At 46.4% G+C, this 26,968-nt stretch overlaps 2 protein-coding genes across 16 annotated transcripts in view, besides 9 other annotated features; one reads left to right on the top strand and one right to left on the bottom strand.

Annotated features, from left to right (window-relative positions):
• SFXN2 (sideroflexin 2) overlaps nt 1-17,362 on the bottom strand; it is a 28,857-nt gene extending 11,495 nt beyond the window's left edge. Inside the window, exons 1-10 of one of the 14 annotated variants that reach the window (XM_047424568.1) lie at nt 17,317-17,362; nt 15,669-15,764; nt 15,287-15,384; nt 14,218-14,295; nt 5,201-5,386; nt 4,841-5,011; nt 3,469-3,567; nt 2,604-2,679; nt 2,190-2,275; nt 215-275 (exon numbers count right to left, since the gene is read on the bottom strand). In XM_047424568.1, coding sequence (XP_047280524.1) covers nt 215-275; nt 2,190-2,275; nt 2,604-2,679; nt 3,469-3,567; nt 4,841-5,011; nt 5,201-5,386; nt 14,218-14,228 — 690 coding nt within the window. In that variant the 5' untranslated portion in view covers nt 14,229-14,295; nt 15,287-15,384; nt 15,669-15,764; nt 17,317-17,362. Of the gene's footprint in view, nt 1-190; nt 276-2,189; nt 2,276-2,603; nt 2,680-3,468; nt 3,568-4,206; nt 4,324-4,840; nt 5,012-5,200; nt 5,387-6,690; nt 6,913-7,001; nt 7,063-14,217; nt 14,563-15,286; nt 15,385-15,668; nt 15,765-17,316 lie in introns of those variants that run through there. The other 13 variants (XM_047424569.1, XM_011539261.3, NM_001350989.2 and 10 more) reach the window with 13 other exon arrangements.
• Nucleotides 1,678-2,450: an enhancer, noted in NCBI's record as "H3K4me1 hESC enhancer chr10:104489305-104490077 (GRCh37/hg19 assembly coordinates)". NCBI's record gives its function as "activates a minimal SCP1, AML or CMV promoter by ChIP-STARR-seq in primed H9 embryonic stem cells {active_cell/tissue: H9 hESC(primed)}" and the evidence as "EXISTENCE:reporter gene assay evidence [ECO:0000049][PMID:30033119]".
• Nucleotides 2,451-3,225: an enhancer, noted in NCBI's record as "H3K4me1 hESC enhancer chr10:104488530-104489304 (GRCh37/hg19 assembly coordinates)". NCBI's record gives its function as "activates a minimal SCP1, AML or CMV promoter by ChIP-STARR-seq in primed H9 embryonic stem cells {active_cell/tissue: H9 hESC(primed)}" and the evidence as "EXISTENCE:reporter gene assay evidence [ECO:0000049][PMID:30033119]".
• Nucleotides 16,384-16,959: an enhancer, noted in NCBI's record as "H3K27ac hESC enhancer chr10:104474796-104475371 (GRCh37/hg19 assembly coordinates)". NCBI's record gives its function as "activates a minimal SCP1, AML or CMV promoter by ChIP-STARR-seq in naive H9 embryonic stem cells {active_cell/tissue: H9 hESC(naive)}" and the evidence as "EXISTENCE:reporter gene assay evidence [ECO:0000049][PMID:30033119]".
• Nucleotides 16,960-17,536: an enhancer, noted in NCBI's record as "H3K27ac hESC enhancer chr10:104474219-104474795 (GRCh37/hg19 assembly coordinates)". NCBI's record gives its function as "activates a minimal SCP1, AML or CMV promoter by ChIP-STARR-seq in naive and primed H9 embryonic stem cells {active_cell/tissue: H9 hESC(naive and primed)}" and the evidence as "EXISTENCE:reporter gene assay evidence [ECO:0000049][PMID:30033119]".
• Nucleotides 16,960-17,684: a biological region, named in NCBI's record as "H3K27ac hESC enhancer GRCh37_chr10:104474219-104474795".
• Nucleotides 17,290-17,684: a silencer, noted in NCBI's record as "fragment chr10:104474071-104474465 (GRCh37/hg19 assembly coordinates)". NCBI's record gives its function as "represses an EF-1alpha promoter that drives an FKBP-Casp9 reporter gene in an ReSE screen in K562 erythroleukemia cells {active_cell/tissue: K562}" and the evidence as "EXISTENCE:reporter gene assay evidence [ECO:0000049][PMID:32094911]".
• Nucleotides 17,322-17,471: a silencer, noted in NCBI's record as "silent region_2772". NCBI's record gives its function as "represses an Ori minimal core promoter by ATAC-STARR-seq in GM12878 lymphoblastoid cells {active_cell/tissue: GM12878}" and the evidence as "EXISTENCE:reporter gene assay evidence [ECO:0000049][PMID:35858748]".
• Nucleotides 17,601-26,968, top strand: part of ARL3 (ARF like GTPase 3) — a 40,667-nt gene continuing 31,299 nt past the window's right edge. Inside the window, exons 1-2 of one of the 2 annotated variants that reach the window (NM_004311.4) lie at nt 17,601-17,725; nt 26,509-26,652. In NM_004311.4, coding sequence (NP_004302.1) covers nt 17,723-17,725; nt 26,509-26,652 — 147 coding nt within the window. In that variant the 5' untranslated portion in view covers nt 17,601-17,722. Of the gene's footprint in view, nt 17,726-17,836; nt 18,204-26,508; nt 26,653-26,968 lie in introns of those variants that run through there. The other variant, XM_017016260.2, reaches the window with a different exon arrangement.
• Nucleotides 17,752-17,801: a silencer, noted in NCBI's record as "silent region_2771". NCBI's record gives its function as "represses an Ori minimal core promoter by ATAC-STARR-seq in GM12878 lymphoblastoid cells {active_cell/tissue: GM12878}" and the evidence as "EXISTENCE:reporter gene assay evidence [ECO:0000049][PMID:35858748]".
• Nucleotides 17,842-17,941: a silencer, noted in NCBI's record as "silent region_2770". NCBI's record gives its function as "represses an Ori minimal core promoter by ATAC-STARR-seq in GM12878 lymphoblastoid cells {active_cell/tissue: GM12878}" and the evidence as "EXISTENCE:reporter gene assay evidence [ECO:0000049][PMID:35858748]".

Below are 26,968 nucleotides of genomic sequence, written 5' to 3'. Positions count from 1 at the left end.
ACCTAGCCAGGTTTTTATGGACCAGAAATGATGGAGAAAAGAGAGAAGGGGCCTGTTCTGAACAGAGAAACATGGGGAAAATTTGATAGGGAGTGAGGATGGAGCCAGAAAAGGCTTCTCAATCCTATATTGGTGCCTACTCTGACCACTAAGGAGGGGACAGGGTATGAGAGGGAATTCCCTCCTCCCACCCCAAAGGGAGGCCTCTGCTCACCCGGGAATGACCAATCTCATTTTCATTCCTGTCCTTCACGCAGATTCCCTTTATGAGCTCCCTAAACACAGACAGGAGTTAATGGACTTGGGAAAGGGGTGATGGAAGCCTGCCAGCCACATGACATGCCAGGGGACCAAGGCCAGGCCACTTAAGCTCCAGGAAGCCACCTCCTGTAGCCTGGGCCTTTGACCTTCCTTCTGCACTCCAATAAGCAGTATCTTAGGAGTGATCTAGGGCAGTGGCTGAGAGCGGTGGCCCTGGGCCCGGACTGTCTGGGTTGAGTCCTGAAACTGCAGGGGATGTGTGTGACCTTGAGCACAGTCTTTAACCCTCCCAAAGCCTCAGTTTTGCTTATCTGCAAAATGGGGATCATCCTGGCACCCACTTTACAGGACCTGGTAAGGATTAAATGAGATAATGGCTATGAAATACTTGGTCCAGCACCTGACACACAGTGTGATCACTCCACAAACAGTAGCTACTCTAGCTATTCCTTTTTTTTTTTTTTTTTTTTTTGAGACAATCGCACTCTGTCACCCAGGCTGGAGTGTAGTGGCATGATCTTGGCTCACTGCAACCTCCATCTCCTGGGTTCAAGCGATTCTCCTGCCTCAACCTCCCCAGTAGCTAGAATTACAGGCATGCGCCACCATGCCCGGCTAATTTTTGTTTTTGTTTTTTGGTTTTTTTTTTGTGATGGAGTCTCACTCTGTCACCCAGGCTGGAGTGCAGTGGTGCGATCTTGGCTCACTACAAGCTCCGCCTCCCGGGTTCACAACATTCTCCTGCCTCAGCCTCCCAAGTTGCCGGGACTACAGGCACCCGCCACCATACCTGGCTAATTTTTTGTATTTTTTAGTAGAGACGGGGTTTCACCGTGTTAGCCAGGATGGTCTCGATCTCCTGACCTCGTGATCCGCCCACCTCAGCCTCCCAAAGTGCTGGGATTACAGGCGTGAGCTACCACGCCTGGCCCTAATTTTTGTATTTTTAGTAGAGATGGGGTTTTGCCATGTTGGCCAGGCTGGTCTCAAACTCCTGGCCTCAGGTGATCCTCCTGCCTCAGCATCCCAAAGTGCTGGGATTACAGGCGTGAGCCACCGCACCCAGCCCACCCCAGCTGTTCTTCTCAGGCCAGTTCTTGACAGCACTCAACTCAAGCCCCGGTAGGTGGCAGGGACTCATTCTCCTGTTAGGAAAGGGCCACTGGATGGGGAAGGAAAGATGAATGGAGCAGCATGTGTGCACAACTATTCTGGTAGTGCTTCCTCTACAAAGACTAGTGTGAACATTTTCCATTTGTTGGTAGTCCCAAGAAAATGTGGCTTGTAGATATTGATGATGATGACAATGGTAGAAATAACAGTGAACACTTATGTAGCATCTCTTATGTTCCAGGTGCTATTTTGAGTGCTTTACATATATTACATCATTAAAACCTCATAACAGAGATTTCTCTAGTCAAGAAATAAGAACTGTGAGACACAATGAGTTTCTCCTTTACCTTTTCTCCTGAAAAGCTTAGAGTTGGGTGCCTGGAAAACTTCTGTCTACTCCTCTGGCTTCTTTCAAAGCTTCTGGGTTCTATGCTATCTTTAGACACCTCAGCCTGCTACATTTCATTCTGTATGCCATCCCCAGGGCTTGGGAAGTAGGAGGAGTTCACAATTTTAACACAGGTCCAAAAGGACATGATCCAGTGTAAAACTCCACAGGTCCACCCTGTCTTTCCCATCCCACATCACCCAGGAGAGGACTCCCACGGGACTCAACACACGGCCTAACCCAAAGTCACCCACCACTCCCGGGGCCATCACCATGGGAGCTGCCAATCCCAGGGCCCTTCAGAGGCTCAGCCCAGCAGCCCTCCCCATGCCCACCGCAGTCCCCAGAAGCCACCCACTGCTTTGGTTTCTTGCCCCTTTTCTGCTAATCTTGTGGTTTGTAGGGAGAAAAAGGGGCCTTTACTCACTGCTGTCGCATCATGGGGATATTGACACAGTTAGCCGCAGCCACAGCGGCAAAGGGCACCCAGCGGCCCACCAAGGGCGGCGCTTTCTGTTGGGGGAAGAGAACAGTAGGAGTTGTTCAGAAGCGCTGGAAGATGGGAGGGGAGGGGGCTGAACGACTAGAATACAAAAAAGAAAACTAGGCCTTGCTACCGCCACACATCCAGACACCCAGTCTGGGAACCCCAAACTCCCTCAAAGGCCCAAGAAGAACCAACCTGGGGACGGCCCTGGTGTATTTCTCATCACTTGGCCAGCCGGGCTCTGGCCATTCCCAACTCACCCAGCCTGGGGAACTGTCCCTGGGGGAAGGACGTTTTCCCTAGGACTCTGCTGCCCCCGCGTGGCCACCATGCTGCAGCGGCCCCAGACCATACCTTTGTCAACATGTTCATGCCCACAGCCGTGGCCACAGCAGTGGTTGTGGCTGTGAAGTAGGAAAGGGCCATCTGCCTGGGGGAGGAGAGAGATGCTTGGGAGTGGGGCCCCTGCCGGCTGAGGGCCAAACCACGGGCTTCAGGGAGAAAGTCGGCTGGCGAGGCTTCGTGCGTGAAAACCGCACAGGATCTGTCCCCAGCCTTATCTTGTGACCCTCTCCCCCTCACTCACAGTGCTCCAGCCCCCTTGGTCTTCTTTCAGTACTGTGAACATGCCAAGTTCCTCCCTGCCTCGGAGCCTCTGCACACGGCTGCTCCCTATGCGGGGAGGTGTTCCCTGGGCTCTTGGGTCATTCATCCCTCATCCTTCAGGACAGTTGAAATGTCGTCTTCACAGATGGGACTGCTCTAAGTGGCCTAACTACACAGACACCGCTCTGCTGTTCTCTGCCTTGCAACCCTGGTTTTCTGGGTGGTTTTTTTTGTTTGTTTTGAGACTGATCTTAGGCAATCTGCCTGCCTCAGCCTCCCAAAGCGCTAGGATTACAGGTGAGAACCACCGTGCCTGGCCCAACCACATGTCTTAACAATGTATCCCAGCATCTAGAACCATGCACATCCCCAGCACATAAGACACACTCAAGAAGAAATATTTAGAGAATGAATGAATAAACACATTTGGAATTGGTCTAGGAAGAAGATCCACCCCTACTCAGCTTGAGAAAATATTTCCAAACCCTGGGAAAGGGTGACTTGGTCACCTGCTCAGTGCAGGTGCTACCCAGGAAGGACTGACAGCCCAGAACCCTTTAGAAAAGCTGTTCGTGGGGAGACACGAGGACAGCCTGGGGTTCAGGTCTCCTACCTGACTGATGTGGGGGAAGCCGCATTCCTGTTGGTGTAGTTGACTAAGGCATTGAAGGACTGGTTCACCCACTGCCAGAAGATCACCGCCGGCATCGTCCTACCAGTGAGGAAGGCCAGGAGAGGCAGAGAGAAGTCAGATGGCAGGGAGTCCTGAGGGTATGCCAGTCAAAGCACATGATCTGCAGGTCCCCACACTGTTCCCATACTAGTTTTTTATTTTTATTTTTTTGAGACGGAGTCTCACTCTGTCACCCAGGCTGGAGTGCAGTGGTACGATCTCAGCTCACTGCAACCTCCGCCTCCCAGGTTCAAGCAATTCTCCTGTCTCAGCCTCCCAAGTGGCTGGGACTACAGGCACACACCACCACGCCTGGCTAATTTTTGTATTTTTAGTAGAGACGGGGTTTCACCATATTGGTCAGGCTGGTCTTGAACTCTTGACCTCAAGTAATCCACCCGCCTTGGCTTCCCAAAGTGCTGGGATTACAGACATGAGCCACCGTGCCCAGCTTGTTCCCATACTGTTTTATGCACCTGGGCTTCTGCGCAGGCTGGCCCCTCTGCCTCAAATATCTCCCCCTCCTCCTTCCATACATGGCCAACCCTGCCCTGTTGAGAGGGATCACTTCCTCCATGGAACCTTCCCGACCCTTTCCCTGCCCCTCCTGAGACAGAGTAAGTCACTCCATGCTCCTGCTCCCACAACCCCATGTTCTTCCTCCAACCTACCACTTACCAAGCTGTACTGTAACTGTTTACTTCTTGGTCTCCTCAACAAAACTGGGAGCTCCTTGACGGGAGGTTACTGAAGCCTTCACATTCCCAACACCCGGCCCAAAGCCCAGCTCAATAGCTGAACCAATCAATGCGTGGGGTGGGGGACGCAGGGGAGGAAGGAAGAGGTAGGAAGAAGAGTCACATGTCCAGCAGCTACAGAGGCAGTCTATTCTCTCCCCAACCAAGCCAAGAAAGGGACTTCCTATTGTTTTGTTTGGGTGTTACATAATTAAAATCATTGTGGAATAAGTACTTTTTAAAGAGGGAATTGGGGTAGCTTATTTGTTGAGGGTTCTACACAGGACTGCCTCAGTTAAAATCCAGGCACCCATATTTCCTGCCTGTTTAAACCTGGACAAGTTCTTCAGCTTCTCTAGAACTCTAGTTCTTCATCTATAAAATGGAAATAATAGTACCTATAGTGTAGGGTTGTTGCGAGGGTTAAATGAAGCAATACGAGCAAAGAATGTAGCATAGTGCCTGGTATCTGGTAAGTGACCAATCAAGAGAACTATTATTATTATCATAGTATGGCTCCCTGACCAGCAGATCCAGGCAGCTGTACCTCCCACGGCCCTGCCCCCAGGTCCCACCTGTAGAACTGGAGCATGAAGCCCGTGATGATCATGCCGCCAGGAAGCTGGAAAGACATGCGCCCGATGACATTCATCTTCTCCCCAGTGTCGGGGTGGAAGGCCGAGTCATACAGCTTCTTGGCATACAGCAGCTGCTCCACTTGGGTGCCTGGGGGCACAACCCCCATCCTGCCACCCAAGGACAGCAGGCAGTCACCATCCTGCCTGATCAATGTCTCCCAGTCTCCCCACTCTCACTTCTTCCAGCCCCCAGCCCTGAGATTTCTGCCTATTCCTTCACCTTCGGTTTCCACCTCCTCCCAAGAGGACCCCATCAATGTTACCCTACTACTTCCAGCCCCTTCCCCGACCCCTCACCTGCTCTTCTCCACCATCACCTTGGCCCAGTCCAGCTCCCGCTCAGATACAAAGACAGTGCGGGGGTCCGTGATGTTTAGGAAGTGCTTCACTCTCCCCAGGAAGGTGCGCTGGTCCCAACGGGGGGCATCGATGTTAAAGCCAGACAGGTCAGCCTCCATCTTGCTCACACATAAAACTGTGGACCTAAGGGACAAAGGAAGAAGATGACTGTCCCCTAAATCAAAGCCCACCACAGAGGACCTGAGCACGTCCCACTGTTGCAGACTGCCTGCTCTCACCAGCTACTGGGCATCGTCTGACTCAGCTTGGGAGGGCCCAAGTGAATGGTCATCAGATTGAGCAACTGGGCACCAACATGTGTTTCCTGAGGGCCTGCTGGTGGCCAGCTCTGTGCTTGACCATACAGCAGGAGGGACTGGAAAAGGGGACAATACAGTGCCTGTGCTTGGAGAGCTCTGGGAACAAAAGCCCACCCATTAAATAGTATAATACCCCCAGGTGTTTCTGGCAGGGGAGATGGGAAAAGTAGCCATTTTGAAAAACAGCCAGCTGGGTGCAGTGGCTCATGCCTGTAATCCCAGTACTTTGGGAGGCCGAGGCAGGGGGATCATGAGGTCAGGAGTTTGAGACCAGCCTGGCCAACATGGTGAAACCCCATCTCTACTAAAAATACAAAAATGAGCCGGGCGCAGTGCCAGGCACCTGTAATCCCAGCTACTCAGGAGGCTGAGGCAGAAAAATTGCTTGAACCCAGGAGGCAGAGGTTGCAGTGAGCTGAGATCACACCACTGCACTCCAGCCTGAGCCTGGGTGACAGAGCAAGACTCCATCTTGGGGGGAAAAACAAAACAAAACAAACAAACAAAAAAACACCCAAAGCCCTTTATACTTCTTTTTTTTATTTAATTTTACTTTTTTTTTGAGACAGGGTCTCATTCTCTCACCCAGGCTGGGATGCAGTGGTGTGATCATGGTTCAATGCAACTATTACCTCCCAGGTCAGCCTCCTGAGTAACTGGGACTACAGGCACATACCACCACCCTGGCTAATTTTTGTATTTTTTTGTAGAGATGGCACCTCGCTATGTTGCCCAGGCTGGTTTCAAACTCCTAGGTTCAAGCAATCCTTCTGCCTCGGCCTCCCAAAGTGCTGGGATTACAGGTGTGAGCTGCCGCATCTGGCCTGTTTTATTATTTAGAGACAGAGTCTCATTATTTTATCCAGGCTGGAGTGAATGGTAATTGACAGGCATGATTATAGCTCACTGCAACCTCGAACTCCTGGGCTCAAGCAATCCTCCAACCTCAGCCTCCCAAGTAGCTGGGACTACAGGCATGCACTATCATGCCCAGCCCTTTTATTCTTCTCAACAAGGTCTACCCTTGAGGGAAACTATTTTACCAGAGCCTAACCATCTTGGGTTGTACCAGAACTTAAGTGACTTGGGGAAAGAGAACTCCAGCCACCTCTTGCCTTCCTGCCTCACCTAAAGAGGACAAGGGGAGGCTGAGAAGCTCTTGTGAAGGTTCAGGGGCACAGGCTCCCCAGAAGACTGAGACCTCATCACAGGACTGTAGATCCTCCACTCCCTCACCTCACCACTGCACCAGCAGGGCTCCTGTATCATTACAAGGATTATAACAAAAAGAGTAACAAGTCTTAGGCCCTATTTAAGAAGTCTCTAGAGACCCATAGACAGCAAGGGAGATAAGAACAAGGACACCAGAAGAAAATTTAGCCTTTTATACCTATAGCTACAGCAAACAGTAAACATAGCCTAGATAAACAAAACCTCACCCCTCAGTTCCTCTCACAGGGTACATCATGTCCAGCTTTCAGTGAAAAATTACAAGGCATACTAAAAAGAAAAAAAAAAAAAACGCAGTTTGAAGAAACAGGCCAAGTATCAGAATCAGATTTAGATATGAGATTTTAGAATTATCAGACCAGGAATTTTAAATAACTATGGTTAAAATTAATTAATTAATTAATTACAACGATGGTTAATATTCTAAGGACTCTGAAGGGAAAAGTGGACAACAGACAAGAACAGACAAATAACATAAGCAGTGATGGAAAATCTTTTTTTTTTTGAGACGGAGTCTTGCTCTGCCACCAGGCTGGAGTACAATGGCACGATCTCGGCTCACTTCAACCTCTGCCTCCCGTGTTCAAGTGGTTCTCCTGCCTCAGCCTCCCAAGTAGCTGAGACTACAGGCGTGCACCACCATGCCCAGCTATTTTTTGTATTTTTAGTAGAGATGGGGTTTCACCATGTTAGCCAGGATGGTCTCGATCTCCTGACCTCGTGATCCGCCCACCTCGGCCTCCCAAAGTGCTGGGATTACAGGCGTGAGCCACCACGTCCAGCCGGAAACTCTTAAGAAAGAATCAAAAGGAAATGTTGGAAATCAAAAATACTGTAACAAAGATGAAGAAAGTCTTGGATGGACTCATCAGTAGACTGGACATGGCCAGGGAAAGAATCAGTGAGCCTGAACACGTGTCAGTAGAAATTGTCCAAATGCAAAAGGCCCATCCATGGCAGACTGGATAAAGAAAATGTGGTATATGTACACCATGGAATACTATGCAGCCACAAAAAAGAACGAGATCACGTCCTTTGCAGGGACATGGATGAAGATGGAGGCCATTATCCTTAGCAAACTAATGCAGGAACAGAAAACCAAATATCACATTTATAAGTAAGAAAACCAAATATCTCACTTAAAAGTGGGAGCTAAATGATAAGAACACATGGACACAAAAACGGGAGCAACAGACCCCACTGGGGCTCACTTGAGGGTGAAGGGTGGGAGGAGGGAGAGGATCAGAAAAAATAACTAATGGGTACTAAACTTAGTAGCTGGGTGATGAAACAATCTGTACAACCCCAGTGACACAAGTTTACCTATGTAACAAACCTGCACGTGTACCCCTGAATCTAAAGTAAAAGTTAAAACAAAAAAAAGAAACAAATAATATTAATGCAATTATACTAATAGAAGGGCTTGGACTCAGATCCTCCATACACAAATTCTGTCTCTCATTGAGAAACACTGAGTCTGTGGTGGTAGGGATGGTGTGGGAATGTTGGTCTTCCTAGATCATTGGAATTACTATTTGGGGATGCATACCATCTGATTCTGTTAGTCGTTACCCATTTCCACCTATCCCATATCTTACAGAAGAATCATCTCAAGTACTAACTGCTTTATATCCCTTAAAACATTTCTAGTTGGGGCCAGGCGCAGTGGCTCACACCTGTAATCCCAACACTTTGGGAGGCCGAGGCGGTTGGATCACCTGAGGTCGGGAGTTTGAGACCAGCCTGACCAAGACGGTGAAACCCCATCTCTACTAAAAATACAAAAATTAGCCGGGCGCAGTGGCAGGTGCCCGTTATCTCAGCAATTCGGGAGGCTGAGGCAGGAGAATCGCTTGTACCTGGGCAGCAGAGGTTGCAGTGAGCCGAGATCACGCCACTGCACTCAAGCCTGGGTGACAGAGTGAGACTCTGTCAAAAAAAAAAAACAAAACTTTCTAGTCGGCCAGGCATGGTAGCTCACATCTGTAATCTCAGCACTTTGGAGGCCAAGGCCGGTGGACCACCTGAGGTCAAAAGTTTGAGACCAGCCTGGCCAACATGGTGAAACCTCATTTTGTATTTTTTTTTCTACCAAAAAATAGAAAAATTAGCCAGGTGTGGTGGTGCACACCTGCAGTCCCAGCTACTGGGGAGGCTGATGTGGGAGGAATGCTTGAGCCCAGGAGGCGGAGGCTGCAGTGAGCCAAGATCAAGCCACTGCACTCCAGCCTGGGTGACAGAGTAAGACCCTGTCTCAAAAAAAAAAAAAAAAAAAAAAAAGGACTTTCTTGGACAAACAAAACAGGAAATTTGTCACTGGCAGACCTGACTTACAAGATGTTAAAAGAAGTTCTTCTGGTCAGGTGGGATGGTTCACACCTATAATCCCAGCACTTTGGCAGGCCAAGGCAGGAGCATCGCTTGAGCCCAGGAGTTTGAGACCAGTCTGGGCAACAGAGTGAGACCCTGTCTCTATAAAAATTAAAAAAGAAAAAAACATAGCCAGGCGTGGTTGCATGTGCCTGTGGTCCCAGCTACTTGGGAGGCTGAGGTGCGGGGACTGCTTGAGTCTGGGAGGCTAAGGCTAAGCCTGCAGTGAACTGTGATCGTGCCACTGCACTCCAGCCTGCACGACAGAGTGAGACCCTGTCTGGGAAAAAACACTAACAAACAAACAAATAAAAATCTTTATTTCTCTTATTCTGAACTGTTAACAGTTAACAAACAGATACGTTTGTTTAAAACAATAGTAGCAACAATGTATTTGGTGATTACAGTTTATGGATCAGAGAAATCCATGACAGCAGTAATATCAAGGACAGGAGGGGAGAATTGGGAGGACTCCATTCTAAGGTACTTGCACACTCCATGCAGTGGTATAGTGTTATTTGAAAGTGGATTTGGATTAGTCATAAATGTACATTGCAGACTCCTGGGCAACCACTAAAAAGGTTTTCAAAAGAAGTATAATTGATATGCTAAGAGAGGAGAGAAAATGGAGTCATACAAAAAAAGCTGACGCTTTTAAATGTTTGCCTGAAAGCTTCAGGGAGTCATTGAAAGACTTTAAGAAGAAGAGTGACAAGATCAGATATGTAGTTTACTAAGAACAAACTGGGTAGTCATGAGAATAAACAGGATGTGGATGGACCTCACGGGATGCAGGGAGACCAGCTGGACGAGAACCCCAGTAATCCAGGCAAGAAGAGGTAGGGCTCAAATGAACCCACGTGCACTCAGAGGAGAGACCAACAGGAGAGAATCTTTCAAAGAAGCGGAATGTTAAGGTCTGCTAAGCAATAGGTATAAGAGGAACATTTTATCAGTCAAGGTTCAACCAGAGAAGCAGAATCAGTAGATTACAGACAGACAGACAGGTAGATACCAAAACATAACATGGGGCAACATGGAGTTCCTCTAACTCCTGAGCTCAAGCAATCTGCCTGCCTTGGCCTCCCAAAGTGCCAGGATTACAGGTGTGTGCCACTGCACCTGGCTATGACACACACATATACATATTTTATATATTTCTAAAATATATTTGTATACTATAATATATATTTTCTAAATATATAAATTATATAACTATATAAATATATAATTTTTTAAATTTATAGATATAGCAACATATATTTATAATATATAAATTTATATATACATTTATTTATATAGACATGAATTACGTTTAAATATAACATATAAAAATAATATATAAACATAAATAATTCATATAGCTATATAAAATCATATATAAATATATAACTTTATATGTTATAAATATATGTTGATCTATCTATATAGATTTTATAATTTTTTCTTCTTTTTTTAGGCAGGGTCTCAGCTGGTTGCCCAGGGTAGAGTGGAGTGGTGCAATCATAGCTCACTGTAATCTCAAACTCCTGGGCTCAAGGAATCCTCCCATCTCATCCTCCCTAAGTGCTGGGATTACAGGCATGCACCACTCCTGGCCTAAATATATATAATGCTGACGTAATATAATATTGATAAAATATAGAAATTGATTTATCACAAGGAATTAGCGAATTGGCTCACATAACTGTGGCTGTTGGCTAGGCAATCCTGAAGTCAGCAGGGCAGGCGGCCAGCAACAGACCATCCCAGGGGAGAGGGAGCAACGCGGGTAATGGCTCAGAGTCCAGAACCTCAGAGGGGGTTCAGGGGTGTTCTAGCCCTCCTTTAAAGGGCTTCCACCTGATTAGGTCAGGCCACCCAGGATAATCTCCCTTTTGATTAACTTAAAGCCAAACAATTGAGGAATTTAATTAGGTCTGCAAAATCCCCTCACAGCAGCACCTAGATTACTGTTTGTCTGAAGAGCTGGAAGATGGTGTGTGTGTGCTCCTGGGTAGCCACTATAACTGGAATATACCAGAGAGGGAATCCCGGGAGTCTTGCTTAGCTTAGCCAAGTTGACACATGACAAATATCCAGAGTGATACCTAGGGTTTCTGACTTGGGCGATAGGTGCTAACAGGGAGAGCACAGAAAAATTGGCTTTGAGGGAGAAAATATTAATAGTAAGCTTGATTTCTGCATGTTAAGTTTCAAATACCATGGGATTTTTTTTTTTTTTTGAGACAGGGTCTTGCTCTGTTGCCCAGGTGGGAGTACAGTGGTATGATCATGGCTCACTACTCCAGCCTCCACCTCCCAGGCTCAAACGATCCTCTGACCTTAGCCTCTCAAGTAGCTGGGACCACAGGCATGTGCCAACATGCCCGGCTAGTTTTTGTATTTTTTGTAGAGACAGGGTCTCCCTATGTTGCTAGGCTGGTCTCAACTCCTGAGCTCAAGGGATCTACCTGCCTCAGCCTCCCAAAGTGCTGGGATTACAGGAGTGAGCTACCAGCCCCGGTCCTGCCATGGGTTTTTTTTTTTTTTTTTTTTTTTTTTGAGAGGGAGTCTTGCTCTGTCACCCAGACTGGAGTGCAGTGGTGCGATCTCGGCTCACTGCAACGTCCACCTCCTGGGTTCAAGCAATTCTCCTGCCTCAGCCTCCTGAGTAGCTGGGATTACAGGTGCGTGCCACCACACCCAGCTAATTGTTTGTATTTTTAGTAGAGACGCGGTTTCACCGTGTTAGCCAGGATGGTCTCGATCTCCTGACCTCGTGACCCATTACCCGCGTCGGCCTCCCCAAGTGTTGGGATTACAGGCGTGAGCCACCAAGCCCGGCCGGGATTTTCTTAAATGCAATAGGCCTCTTCCTGTCTCAGGTCCTTTCCAAACACAATACTCAAAAGCTAGTCTTTCCTCTCTTCACTAAATAGTACCTATTTGTCCTTTTATTTTTTTGTACAAATAATTTTCAGATTTACTTCTATAGCTTCTACTACTAGGTCATTTTGTTTTTTTCTTGGAAATAGCACCTTAGCTAAGTTAAATAATTCACCTGTGAAGTGAGGTGGTATGTTCATTTTGCTCACGACTGTCACCCCAGTGCCTAGCACAATATTCAAGTATTTGCTGAATAAGAAGTTCATCAGCCTGTGGGTATTCAGGCTTGAAAGGAAACAGAGGTCAGAGCTAGAAGGAAAAAACTGAGTCAGCAGCATCGAGGTGATTTACGATAAAGTTTTCCAGTGAGAACACACAGAATGGGAAGAGGAGAGAGCTGAGGACAAACCCTGAAAAATCAGGACATTTAAGAAGCCAAGGCCGGGCACAGTGGCTCACACCTGTAATCCCAGCACTTTGGGAGGCCGAGGCGGGTGGATCACCTGAGGTCAGGGGTTTGAGACCAGGCTGGCCAAGATGGTGAAACCCCATCTCTAATAAAAAAAAAAAATACAAAAATTAGCTGGGCGTGGTGGCAGGCACCTATCATCCTAGCTATTCAGGAGGCTGAGGCACAAGAATTGATTGAACCCAGGAGGCGGAGGTTGCAGTGAGCCGAGATTGTGCCACTGTACTCCAGCCTGGGCAACAGAGTGAGACTCTGTCTCAAAAAAAAAGAAGCTGAGGCCGGGCACGGTGGCTCATGCCTGTAACCCCAGTGCTTTGGAAGGCTGAGGCGGGCGGATCACGAGGTCAGGAGTTTGAGACCAGCCTGGCTAACATGGTGAAACCCTGTCTCTACTAAAAATACAAAAAATTAGCCGGGCGTGGTGGCAGGCGCCTGTAATCCCAGCTACTTGGGAGGCTGAGGCAGGAGAATCACTTGAACCCGGGAGGTGAAGGTTGCAGCGAGCCGAGATGGCGCCACTGCACTCCATCTTGGCAACATAGCAAGACCCTGTCTCAAAAAAAAAAAAAAAAAAAAAAAAGAAGCCGAGAAAAGGAAGCCCCCAAAGATGGGAAGAACCACCAGAAAGAAGAGAGAAAGGAGGTGGAGACAGGCACAGGCCTGTAATCCCAGCACTTTGGGAGGCCAGGAGTTCAAGTTCAAGAAAGGAGGCAGAAGGGACAGTGTTGGGGAAGGAAGAGCAGTGGTCAATTTTTAGATTTTTCGTTAAGGCGGAAGAGACATCAGGAAGCTGATATGCTGGAGGTACGCCATTTCCTAAGAGGAAAGACCAGGAACAAGAGGAGAGGCTCAATATGGAGTATCCACAGCGCCCTGGCCTGGCCCCGATGCTTCTCTGAAGCGGCAATCTCCAGAGAAGTCAGAAGGCAGACAGAAAGAGTCCACTGCCAAAACAGACTTCCCCTCTCCCTGCCACCTGGCCTCCTGCAGGCTGCTTCAAAGACCAAAGGCATTTATCTCAGTCCCAGCTGAAGCAAGAGTGGGAGGAGGGGAAAGAGTTCACTTTCCCATGCTCTACATGAACCTAAAAGGAGTCAGCTTGGCTGGCTGAACACACGCTGCCTTGGCTTACAGAGCCCCAGGCTCATACATGCTGGAGACAGCCTGACTGAGCAAAATGCTATGCCTCCCCCTCAGCACACACATACACACAGAGCCAGACCTTCTCTGACATCTCTGTTCACCTTAACACAACATTGCAAAGTCCTCTGCTTCTCAGAATGGAGGGACTATCATCAAGGGGTAATCTAAACATTTGCTAATTATGCAAGAGCCTTTGCCTTCTTAATTGAAGTCAGGATAGAAACTGCAGAGTCCCTGTCTTAAATAAAACATAAAGCCAAAACAAAAACAAAACAAAAAAAACACTAAACGATCTGTCTGGAACATTTCCCCCCACACACCCACTGTCCCCCAATGGGCACTCTTCCCCGACTCCTTCAGGACAAACTCAAATCCTTCTGTGATATATACTCCTACAGCATCCTGTCCTTTGCAGCATGCTGGGCGTTTGTGATTGTCACCTTCTTGTCATTGACTGTGATTTGTGTAAAGTCTGCCTCCCCTGACAGACTGTAAGGCTCACAAGCATCGGGATCATGTCTGTGATGTTTACTGCTACATGTTTCACATGCCCTCGAAGAATATTTACTGCTTACCTGAAATGCATTCCAACTTCTTCTTGGGTCTCTTGGCATCAAGGATGTCACCTCTTTTAAGTCAAACTTAGAACCTGCCTAGGTTACAGAATTAAGAGCACGCTTTCTTTCATGAAGTTGCAAAACTGTCTACCTTGCCTGTACTAAGTCATACTGGTCTCTAAATTTTCTTCTACAGTTACTGTCCCTCCTCCCACACAAGCCACATCTAGTCTTCCCTAAAAAGGTCATCATCATGTCCAGGGTAGCCCCACTTCTGTATGGTCCCACTACTAGGAACAAAGTAGGAGTAAAAATCAGACCAGTGATTTAATGATATCTCCCTCCTAGGATTAGAGAATGTCACAGCTTGAGGCCGGGCGCAGTGGCTCACGCCTGTAATCCCAGCAATTTAGGAGGCCGAGGCGGACGGATCACGAGGTCAGATCGAGACCATCCTGGCTAACCCTGTGAAACTCTGTCTCTACTAAAAATACAAAAAATTAGCCAGGCGTGGTGGCACGCACCTGTAATCCTAGCTACTCAGGAAGCTGAGGAAGGAGGATCGCTTGAACCCGGGAGGCGGAGGTTGTAGTGAGCCAAGATCGCACCACTGCACTCCAGTCTGGGTGACAGAGCGAGACTCCGTCTCCACAAAAAAAAAAAAAAAAAAAAAAGAGAGAGAGAATGTCATAGCCTGAAGACATGTGATCTAAGATCTCAGTTTACAGAAGAGGAAACTGAAGCCTAGAAAGGTGCACATGGATTGGGCCACCACAGTGGGCATTTTTGATACACTTGGCCCTGCACTAAGCGCTTGCAGCAGATATAAACACGAACAATCAACAGATCCAGTCCTCAAAGATTGGACAACAGCTAAGGCCTTACTTCCCCAAGGTCCTCTATCCACTATAGCCTACTTGCCAACTCCGAGGCCTGGCACGGTGGCTCACACCTGTAATCCCAACACTTTGAGAGCCCAAAGCAGAGAGATCACCTGAGGTTGAGAGTTCAAGACCAGCCTGACCAACATGGAGAAACCCCCGTCTCTACTAAAAATAAAAAATTAGCCAGGCGTGGTGGTGCATACCTGTAATCCCAGCTACTTGGGAGGCTAAGGCAGGAGAATCGTTTGAACCCGAGAGGTGGAGGTTGTGATGAGCCGAGATCGCACCGTTGCACTCCAGCCTGGGCAATAAGAGTGAAACTCCATCTCAAAAAAAAAAAAAAAAAAAAAAAGGAAAGAAAGAGAGGGAAACAAAGAGAAAAAAAAAGTAATAGACTACTGCCACCTCTGACGTAATGCTCATCCTTCCCAGAAAGAGCAGATTTTCTCTGGCAAATGGTATCAGAGATCAGAAAACAAGCTTCCAAATTCCTTCTGAGGTATCCTCTTACAAGCAGAAGTGCACAAGATTACTGTTTGTAGCCCCAGGTAGGGAGAAAAACGAAACATCATCGCTGGTACTCACATCAGAGGAAGATCAAGGTAGCCAAAGACCCCAGAAGGTCAGACACAAAGACCACTGAGACAGGCAAGGATTAAGGTCAAGGCTGCCTAGAGCAAGCTGGAAAATGAGGGTAATAATTACAAGAGCAGGCCCAGGTATAGGCTTATGGGTACTCGTCTGACTCCAAGGCAAGTGGGCTGTTAGGCACCAGACAACTTAGAAAGAGCAACCTCCCTTGCCTTTTTCACAAAAGGGCCAACAGTCTGGAGATGAGTAGATTATAGGGGTTTGTGCTCCTGTATCACCTCCATTCATCACCTCCTTAGTCAAGGCTCTGAACTGCTTTTTCTCTCCAAGGATCTGAAGCAGGTATGCAAGCAGCAGATGTTGATTTTTGTTTTCATTTTTTTTTTTTTTTTTGAGGCAGGGTCTTGCTCTTTCACCCAGGCTGGAGTACAGTGATGTGATAATAGCTCCTGGGCTCAAGCAATCCTCCAGCCTCAACCTCCCGAGTAGCTAGGACTACAAGTGCGCCACGGAACCTGGCTAATTAAAAAAAATTTTTTTTTGTAGAGGCAGGGTCCTACTGTGTTGCCCGGGCTGGTCTCCAACTCCTGGGCTCAAGCCTTCCTCCCCTTCCACCTCTCAAAGTGCTGGGATTATAGGCATGAGCCACTGCGCCTGGCCGCAATTACCAATTTCTAGGGGTTGTGAAAATGAAATTTGGTATGAAATGTATTTCATTAGGAAGGATGTAATTTCCATACGGGCTGATTTTGTCCACTGCTGTGTCTCCAGCGTCTAGAACAGGGCCTAGCACGTTTGTGTAAACTCTTCTTATAGTCCTCTGCATCGGGAAAGGGATGGGAGGTAGCACTTCCCAACCCACCCCAGTGTCCCACTTGCTCTTCCTTGGCTAAAAATGCAGGCTCATTTTTGCCTCCTCCAGGACTACAGATGGTACGCGGTCCTGTCCAAAGCAGCTTAGCAAAACCGGCCAGAGGCTGGGCACAGTGGCTCACCACTTTGGAACACCTGTAGTCTCAGCACTTTGGGAGGCCTAGGCGGGCGGATGGCTTGACCCCAGGAGTTCGAGCCCAGCCTGGGCAACATGGCGAAACTCCGTCTCTACAAAAACAAAATACAAAAAATTATCCAGGCGTGGTGGCGCCCGCCTGCAATCCCAGCTACTCGAGAGTCTGAGGCGGGAGAATCGCTTAAGCCTGTGAGGCAAAGGCTGCAGTGAGCCGAGATCGCGCCACCGCACTCCGGCCCGGGCGACAGAGCGACACCCTGTGTCAAAACAAAAACCGGGCCGATCCCCAAAACGCCTTTCACCTGTGCTTTCAGCTCACCTCAGGGCTCAGGGCCAGCCCCCAGGCTGCTTCTTGCCCTCCGACAGACGGCCTCCCCCCATCGGTACTCCCCCATCCCGGACAGCTCGTAACGCCCCAGCCGCTCGGCCTGGCACTCCTAGGCAATGGGGGTCAGAGCAGAGGGGCCCATCTGCAGCCCCAGGGCGCACTTCGCGCCACGTGGCTTCTGCAGGTGGAAGTCCAGCCCGCGCTGCAGCCCCGCCTGGGCAGTCAGGACAGCAATCTCAGCACCCACCCGAGATGTGGGGATTGGAGGTAGACAGGGCGAGCGCCATTGTCCCAAGGCCCCTTACCTGGTCCCGGGACAAATGCCACCAGTTACAGCCCGCCTTGAAAACTGGCCCGGGTGAGAGGAGGACCTGGGCTGGGGAACTGCCCCCACGCCCGCCCCACGCCCCTCCTTTTCGACCAATCCCAGGCCGGGAGGCTCCCGCCAGCCACGTGGGCAGGCTTTCTCCACTCCCTGGTCCAGGCGAGCCGGCGGCGGCCTCTGCAGCTCCCGTAGCCCGCCCACTGCGTGGGCGGGCGCCTTAGCGCACTTGCGCACTCTGGGGAAAGCGGAGCTGCACCCCGCCCCGTATTGCTGCTCAGCTCCTCAGCTGTGCGTGCGAGGGACGTCGGGGGCGGCGCCGCAGCAGTTGCCCCTGGTAACGGGGGAGGCAGCAGGAGGAGGAGGAGGAGGAGGGACTCGGCGGGAGGATGGTGAGTGTGGGGGCCTGGGCCCCCTTGGAGCCGGCCGGTTATCCCCCTCCCGTCCCCAGGCCCAGGGCGGAGCACTGCGCTTAAAGCCAAGGAGGGAATGGGACGTCGCTCAGCCTGCTATCTGGGTTGTGGACTGATTTCGGGGGTCGGCGGGGAGACCCGAGGGTGGGCCCTGGAGGGAGGCCTGGGCCTGGAGAGGAAGGCGGGGCTTGCAGCGGGTCCGAGGCTTGGGGAAGGGGCTGGCAGAGTGCGCGGCTGGCCGGGTGCGGAGCCCGGGCTCCATCATTACTCTGGGGACAGGGGTGAGGGCGGATCCCAGGAACTGCGGAGAGCAGCTTTCGCTAGCAGGCTTAGACTTCCCGGGCAATCGGTCTCGCGGCTTTGCAGTAAAGTGGGGTTCGTCTGGAGCCCGGCCAGAAGCGGAGAGAAGGCCGGCCCCATTGGCTCTGAGGTCGCCCTGGCGGTAGCAGGGGAGATGGTAGCCTAGCTCTCCTCCTTCTCGCGCTGTGCGGGCCCCTGGGGGGTAGGGAAGTAAGTCCCACGACACAAAGGGGTGCCGCTTGGAAGGGATGCCTGGTGGATTTTACGCCGTCTTGGTGTCTGCGTGGCGGGTGCGCTTCCTCAGTCCCGAATTATTTAGTTATTTGCTGAGAGTTTTGCAGGATCTGATTGTTGGTGATGACCGATTTTTCATTCAATACATAATCCATGTTGATGAAGACATATTAGCTGCTCCGTCTCTAGAATTTCCTTCGAAACCTTTTGCAGTCTCCTCTTGCGTGTGACCATACCAGGACCAAAAGATCTTAATCCTAGCTTGAGTTCTCCAAACTGAAAAGAACGAGAAGTTAAAAATGGAGATCGAACTTCAATCCGGGGCAAGGCTTTTCTCTGTCAGTCCCAATTAAAGCTTTCCCAAATTCTAAATTATGGTTGTGACAGATCTGACCGTTGACACTCTGTTTCTTGTTAATGTCTGTACAGTTAGTTGGAGGGAGTTAAAATGGAATTGAGTAATTTTAGAGCTATCAAAGAAAAATTGATTTTGAACACTTAAAGCAGGTTAGTTGGCTGCAAAGAGCCTGTCATCAAACTTATAGTCACTGCTCCAACTCTCTTCCTAGTTCCTTTCTTGACTTTTAGAAATGTTGAGCCATTTCTGTTGATTTAAGAAGTAAAAAAAAAAACAAAAAAACTAGATGCCCAGGAAAAAAAAAAATAGATGTATGTTTGGTCAGATTATCCAGTGAGTAGATTTAGAAAGGAAAAAAAAAACTCAATTGATTTTACATTGTCAGATTGTTAAAGAAGTAGGGTTATTTGATCTGAAGTTGCCAATCACATTTCACACTTGCTACACTTGCAGTTTTTTTTTAACCTCAGGCTAAACAGATTTTTACAACTGTTTCTTTTTCTTAATCATTTATACGTGAGCTGTCCTTTTAAAGTTAAAGTTTTTCTCAACAAATGAGTACAAACATAAATATTTACCCAGAAAATAGCTAGAATTGGAATGAAAAGGGCATGCCGAACCAACAGAGATTGAGATTCATCATTATGGATGAGAAGTGCATGAGAGTTGGCTAACTTTTCCCAGTTTGTTGATCAATTAAGTGTACTGTGTAATCCATGATTGTTTAATTTATAATTACAGGCCACAGTAAATTAACCACTGCCCATGTTTCCAGGTGCAAATTGGCACAGTATACAACAAATTTACAGTGTATATACAACACTGTTGTATACAACTGTTGTGTTCAATGATGAAAACAGATTTTGTTTTTCTTTTTTCCTTTTTCCTAAGATGAACAATAAGAAATTAAGACAAATTATTCCGGATTCTTTATCTGGTTTCCCAAAAACATTTTTTTTCTATCTCCACAAGCGTGAGCTGTTCTTAAAACTTGAAGTGAAACACTGAATTTAGTCAGTCGTGTGACTTAAGTGTATCCCATCTGGTATCCCATGAGCCCCCATGGTTAACTGTACAACTGAAGCGTGAACCCCAAGGTTTTTTTGGTTTTTGTTTTAAACTTCAGCTGTGACAAATACATATTTTTTTTCAAATTTGGGTAACTGTGGCAAAAACCCAAATATGGGTTTCTCTGAACATTTAGAGTCAGCTATTTTACCCCTGCTTTACAGTGCCAGGTTCTTGATGAATTACTAAAATACTAAAATGACAGTAATTTTAGCACGTAACTAACCACTTATATTTAACATATGATTCCTTCATTCAGTAATTATTTATGGAGCACTTTCTACATATATGGAGCTTGTGGTCGTTCTCAAGCATGTTCAACATTTGAAGATTGTTCCCAACAGTTACTTATGTTTTCTGGTTAGAAAATGGCCCGTGAAAAATTATTTTAAAAAAATAAACAAAACACGAGGGTAGTCTTTTCAGTGGCTGTTATGTGTCATGCTTTACATACATGACCTCATTTCATCCTCATAGCATCATCTCTTGAGATGTAAGTATTGTTCCTGTTTTCTTCTTTTTTTTTTCTTTTTTTGAGACGGAGTCTTGCTCTGTCACCCAGACTGGAGTGCAGTGGCGCGATCTCCGTTCACTGCAAGCTCCGCCTCCCGGGTTCACGCCATTCTCCTGCCTTAGCCTCCGCAGCAGATGGGACTATGGGCGCCCGCCACCACGCCCGGCTAATTTTGTGTGTGTGTGTTTTTAGTAGAGACGGGGTTTCACCATGTTAGCCAGGATGGTCTGTATCTCCTGACCTCGTGATCCGCCCGCCTCGGCCTCCCAAAGTGCCGGGATTACAGGCGTGAGCCACCGCGCCCGGCCTGTTCCTATTTTCTAGCTGAAACTGTGTGCAGTGTTATGTATATACATATATATATATAAAAACACACACACACATACATATATATACATATATATATACAGATACATATACATACATATATATATATATATACACACACACACACACACACACAGAAGCTGAATACAAGTCTGTGAAATTCTAAAGCCCATAACATTCATTTCATTAGGACTCTGGTGAAGTGGGAACCCACTCTTCCTGAGGAGATGCTCAGACTTTGTTCCTTAGGAAACATTGTTTGTATTTATTTAGGAGAGGGTGATGAGAAAGAAGACACAGTTTGGATTAAGTTCTCAATTTTGAGCTTTAAGCTGATAGGAGTTCAGTTGAAAGACGTAAAAACAAATGGAAGTCAGTTATATTTAAGCTAGTTATGGGGACCGTATGTACTTGACTGTTGGCTTCGTAATTTCAGAATTCAAATTTTAGCTGGTCCTCACAACCACATATATTTTCCATATACCAACGCATTCCTTCTCCCTCCACCACTCTGGTTTCTTTGAATGACCTAGTTTGTATTGTTTTAGGTCAGGGCACCATGCCTCTGCCAGTAGTTTAAGCTGATTTCGAGGCAGATAAAACGTCTGTAGTCCATAGCACATCTATTCATGATTTGACTGTAGAAAAGTTTGTTTAAATGTTTTGTGGTTGAGTCAGACCACTTCTGCCCACCAGGGTGTAGATAACTTGTATACACACATGCTGGTAACACACAATATACTTTTAACTGAAGTTCATGTTTCTTAAATTGTTTTATTTAATGTCACAGGAATATAAATCCTACATAGAGATCATGCCCGTTTTGCTCACTGTTGTACTTGGGGCACATTAAGGGTGTTTAATGATAATTGCGTGAATGGATATTTTGGCCAAAAAATGCACTTTAAAAATTAATGTCATTGTATTTATACTGCAAAACTCAGCCCTATGATAAATTTAACTTCTAATCGCTGTCTCCCTTCATTTGACAGTTAAAATAAAATATGGGCATATATGTATAGATGCACAGAATAGACTTATTCTGGTCTCTTTCATCCAGCCTCTTAAATCAGCTTACTTTGTACCTTTCAGGCAGAACCCTGATCTCTATAAATATCCTCTTCCCTATTTAGCAAACCCTGATAATCCTGTGATCCCATCCTCAGTAGTTGGATTAATATGATGCTGTATTATATTTGCACTTGTCTTCCCTAGACCATGCTTGAAATGCCATTTATCATTTTGCTGGAAGAAAACATTAGCTGAACTTTGCATTTCTCTGTAATTTCACTCAAAGGTGAAGTATCTGAAGTTATTATTTCCTAATAAGGAAAATTACTCATTAGAAATGTAGAAGCACTGTATTCTACACCATTAGGTTAATAAAGTTTATCTATAGTTAGAATTTTTTTTTTTTTTGAAACAGTCTAGCTCTGTGGCCCAGGCTGGAGTACACTGGTGTGATCTCGGCTCACTGCAACCTCCACCTCGCAGGTTCAAGCGATTCTCCTGCCTCAGCCTCCCAAGTAGCTGGGAATATAGGTGCCCACCACCATGCCTGGCCAATTTTTTGTATTTTTAGTAGAGGCAGGGTTTCACCATGTTGGCCAGGTTGGTCTCAAACTCCTGGCCTCAAATGATCCGCCAGCCTCAGCCTCCCGAAGTGCTGGGATTACAGGCATGAGCCACTGCACTCAGCCTTATAGTTAGAATGATTTCTTTTTCTTTCTTATCTGTGCTTTGCTCCTCTCCTTTTAAGGTGAATAAACATTATGTTTGTCTCTTTTTTTTTTTTTTTTTTTTTGAGACAGAGTCTTGCTCTGTCACCTAGCCCATAATGCAGTGGCCCGACCATAGTTCACTGCAGCCTCAAACTCTTGGGCTCAAGCCATCCTTCTGTCTCAGCCTCCTGAGTAGCTGGAACCGCAGGTGCACACCACCACACCTGGATAATTTTTTTTTTTTTTTTTTGGTAGGGATATGTGTCTCGTGTTTGTTGCCCAGGCTGATCTTGAATTCCTGGCCTTGAGCTATCCTCCTGCCTCAGCCTCCCAAAGCACTGGTATTACAGGTGTGAACCACTGTGCCTGGCCTTGTTTTTCTCTTAATTCTTTAATATCAAATGTAATGAGTGTGGAGCAAGTCTCTGCCTGAAAAAAAAAACAGTATTTTTAGTAACTTCTTTAAAAGAGACACATGAGGAAAAACCCAAAACATTAATTTTAAACTTTGAAAATATTTTATAGGCCGGGTGCAGTGGCTCACTCTTGTAATCCCAGCACTTTGGGAGGCCGTCACGGGCAGATTGCCTAAGGCCAGGAGTTTGAGACTAGCTTGGGCAACATAGTGAAACCCTGTCTCTACTAAAAATACACAAAATTAGCTGGGTGCGGTTGTACACATCTATAGTCCCAGCTACTCCGGAGGCTGAGGTGGAAGGATCACCTGAGCCTGGGAGGCTGAAGCTGTAGTGAACCATGATTTCACCACTGTACTCCAGCCTGGCATTAGGAGTGAGACCTTGTCTCAAAAAAAAAAAAAATATATATATATATATATATATAATATATGGTTTTATTTTTTGTTTTTGTTTTGAGATGGAGTTTCACTTTTGTTGTCCAGGCTGGAGTGCAGAGGCATGATCTTGGCTCACTGCAACCTCTACCTCCTGGGTTTAAGCAATTCTCCTGCCTCAGCTTCCCAAGTAGCTGGGATTACAGGCATGTGCCACCATACCCGGCTAATTTTGTATTTTTAGTAGATACGGGATTTCGCCATGTTGGCCAGGCTGGTCTCGAACTCCTGACCTCAAGTGATCCACCCACCTCGGCCTCCCAAAGTGCTGGAATTACAGGTGTGAGCCACCACACCCGGCCAAAAAAAATTTTTTTTAAAATAGGAAACAGATCTTCCTTCATAATTTCTGCACTAAGCAGAAAATGCATGAGAAGAACTTTGCCTGTGTCATTTAATGTACTAATTTGATAAATTCCAGATGTTTTATAATTTATTTTAAGAGGTAATGAGACCTCTTCTTTTCACTTACAATCAGGAACTCAGGATGAGTAGTAAAATGGGTTTTCCTCTTAGCCTTTTTATGTCACCAGTCCCCTAAGGATCTCAGAATTTTAATTTTTACTTTTCTGAAAGGTGATATTATAAATGAGTGATTGCAATATAGCTAATAGAAACCAGGGAGACTTCTTGTAAATATAGTTTTAAGAAGGAATGCTGTCAAAGTATTCAAGACCAGATGAGATAAAAACAGCAAAAAAAAAAATCTTGCCTTTGGGTGGATCGCTTGAGCTTAGGAGTTCAAGACCAGCCTGGGCAACATGGCAAAACCCCATCTCTACAAAAAATACAAAACTTAGTGGGGCGTGGTGGTGTGAGCCGGTAGTCCCAGCTACTGGAGAGGCTGAGGTGGGAGGATCGCTTGAGCCCAGGGAGTCGAAGCTGCAGTTAGCCGTGTTCACGCCACTACATTCCAGCCTAGGCCACAGAGGAAGACCCTGTCCCCCCAAAAAAAAGAAAAAGGAAAAAAAAGTCTGGCCTTTTAAAAAGCCAGACTTCTGTTTGTTTCCAATCTATTCAATCTCTGTCCCCCAAATCTTTTGGCATAGAATTTGTCTAGCTTAGACTAAACCTTCCATCTTACTGCTGGAAAAAATTGAGGCATAGAAAGGTTAATGTGGTCCTTAGCAAGTCAGTACAGATACAGTACTAGAAGTGGTAAACAAAGAGTCTCTGAGGCAGAAAGGAATTCTTAATAATTATGCATATTTGCGTATGATTGTCCAAAGATGCAGTTGTTGAGAATTATTTCTCAGAAGTATCCTTTGATCTTAGTGAACAAACTGGTTTGAATTATTGCCTGGTACAATGTGAATAACAAATACAACCATTTTGCATAATTCTAAGACTCAGTTTGAAGGAATTTCTTCTTGGGCTGGGAGATTAAATTATATGCCCTTTAAACTCTGGGATTCTTTGACTCTTGTTCTAGCCATGTGTCGTTAGAACAAGATTATCAGCTATAGCACAGAACAAATAACTTTCCTATAAAGATGTTCTTATGTTCTTAACTAAAAATCAACATGGTTTATTTATTTTTTCTTTGTTTTCTTTTTCTTTTTTCTTTTTTTTTCTTTTTGAGACAGAGTCTCACTCTGTCACCCAGGCTGGAGTGCAGTGGTACAAATACAGCTTACTGCAATCTCGACCTCCCAGGCTCTAGCAATTCTCTCACCTCAGCTTCCTGAGTAGCTGGGACCACAGGCCTGCGCCACCATGCCTGGCTTATTTGTTTTTTATTTTTTGTAGGGACAGGGTCTCACTATGTTGCCAGGGCTGGTCTTGAACTCCTGGGCTCAAGCAGCCCTCCTGCCTTGGCCTCCCAAAGTGCTGGGATTATAGGCGTGAGCCACCATGCCCAGCAACATGCTTTATATTTCTATCCATAAAAAATAATAAATAATGGCCAGGAGAGGTGGCTCATGGCCTGTAATCCCAGCACTTTGGGAGGCCAAGGTGGGCTGATCGCTGGAGGCCAGGAGTTCAAGACCAGCCTGGCTAACATGGCGAAACCCCATCTCTACTAAAAATATAAAAATTAGCTAGGCATGGTGGCACATGCCTGTAATACCAGCTACTCTGGAGGCTGAGGCACAAGAATTGCTTGAACCCAGGAGACAGAGGTTGTAGTTGAGCCGAGATTGCACCACTGCACTCCAGCCTGGGTGACAGAGGGAAATATTAGATTAACAGTAAAAAATTCCTTGGTTAATTTTGGTGGGTTTTTGTTTTGTTTTGTTTTGTTTTGCTTCATGGATGCCTTTTATGATTTCTTAACTTCTCTGTTGTACCAAATTTTTCATCTAAAAAACACAGATTATCTATACCATGCACCTATCCTGTAGGGTCTTGTGAAAGATGATAGTAGAACATTTTGAATGAAGAAGTCTTGAAGATGTGCTGAAATAGATAAAATCTTTTTTTTTGAGACGGAGTCTTGCTCTGTCACCCAGGCTGGAGTGCAGTGTGCAATATCGGCTCACTGCAACCTCCGCCTCCCAGGTTCAAGCGATTCTCCTGCCTCAGCATTTCGAGTAGGTGGGACTACAAAGCGCCTGCCACCACGCCCGACTAATTTTTTATATTTTTTGTAGAGACAGGGTTTCACCGTGTTAGCCAGGATGGTCTCGATCTCCTGACCTCGTGATCCGCCCACCTTGGCCTCCCAAAGTGCTGGGATTACAGATGTGAGCCACCGTGCCCGGCGATAAAATCTTTTTTAAAAATTTTTTCCTTTTAATTTTTGTGGGTCCATGGTGTTATATATTTATAGGGTACATGAGATGTTTTGATACAGGCATGCAATGTGAAATGATGAAATAGATAAAATCATTAACAGGAAGCCCAACTATAATTTTATATAGCCTTTTTATATATTTTTGTATAACACCTTAAAATCGTGTGTTAACTTGGGTGTGTCATCCTATTTAATTCCACAAGTGTTATCTAGTGTCTGTTTGATAAGTGCCAGGCATTATGGGACAAGTATAGCCCTTACCACGAGAAACTTTAGTAAAGGAGAAAAATACAAACATCAGTTACCTAGTTTGATATGATGAATGTTCTGCTCTAAGTGTATGTAAAGGGCTTTAGGAACACAGATGGGGTAGAGTTCACACTCCCAGGAGATTTGGGGTGACTGCTAAGCTAGATTGATTGGAGGAGCAGAAATAAGCCCTGCTACTTATTAAGTTGCTGAATTTACTGTAGCACTTCTACCGAAACTTGGAAAGAGGAAGCAAATGGAATAAGTGGCATTAGAATGAAAAATAATAACATAAGCTCTCCATAACCAATAACTTTTTTCAAGGAGAAGTTATTCTCATATCCAGTTAATATCACAGTCAGTGCCCCCAGAGTAATCTGTCTCCTTTGTGGTTGTTGAAGGGCTTGCTCTCAATTTTGCGCAAGTTGAAAAGTGCACCAGACCAGGAGGTGAGAATACTTCTCCTGGGCTTGGATAATGCTGGCAAGACCACTCTTCTGAAGCAGCTTGCATCTGAAGACATCAGCCACATCACACCTACACAGGTGAGCACTGCCTTGGCTCCAGATGCCGTGTGACACAGGAAGACGATAATAGCAATGTGAAAGACAAAATGGGAAATACAGTTTTGTCCACTTCCAAGTTTTGTCTCTGAGAAAAGTCTATACAATCTAAAGATAACCAGATTTCAAAAATATGTAAGAGATTCCATTCTCATGAGGTATTTAGAGTAGTCAGATTCATAGAGACAGAATGCAGAATGGTGGTTACTGGAGCTGGGGAGGGGGAATGGGGAGTTATTGTTTAACGGGTACAGTGAGTCAGTTTTGCAAGATGGAAAGAGTTCTGTGGGTAACGGCC

Source organism: Homo sapiens, chromosome 10 (genome assembly GCF_000001405.40).
Source record: "Homo sapiens chromosome 10, GRCh38.p14 Primary Assembly".
In the NCBI taxonomy this organism is placed as follows: Eukaryota; Metazoa; Chordata; class Mammalia; order Primates; family Hominidae; genus Homo; species Homo sapiens.
Note: the sequence above shows the minus strand (reverse complement) of the source record. Positions and strands in the feature narration are given on the sequence as shown.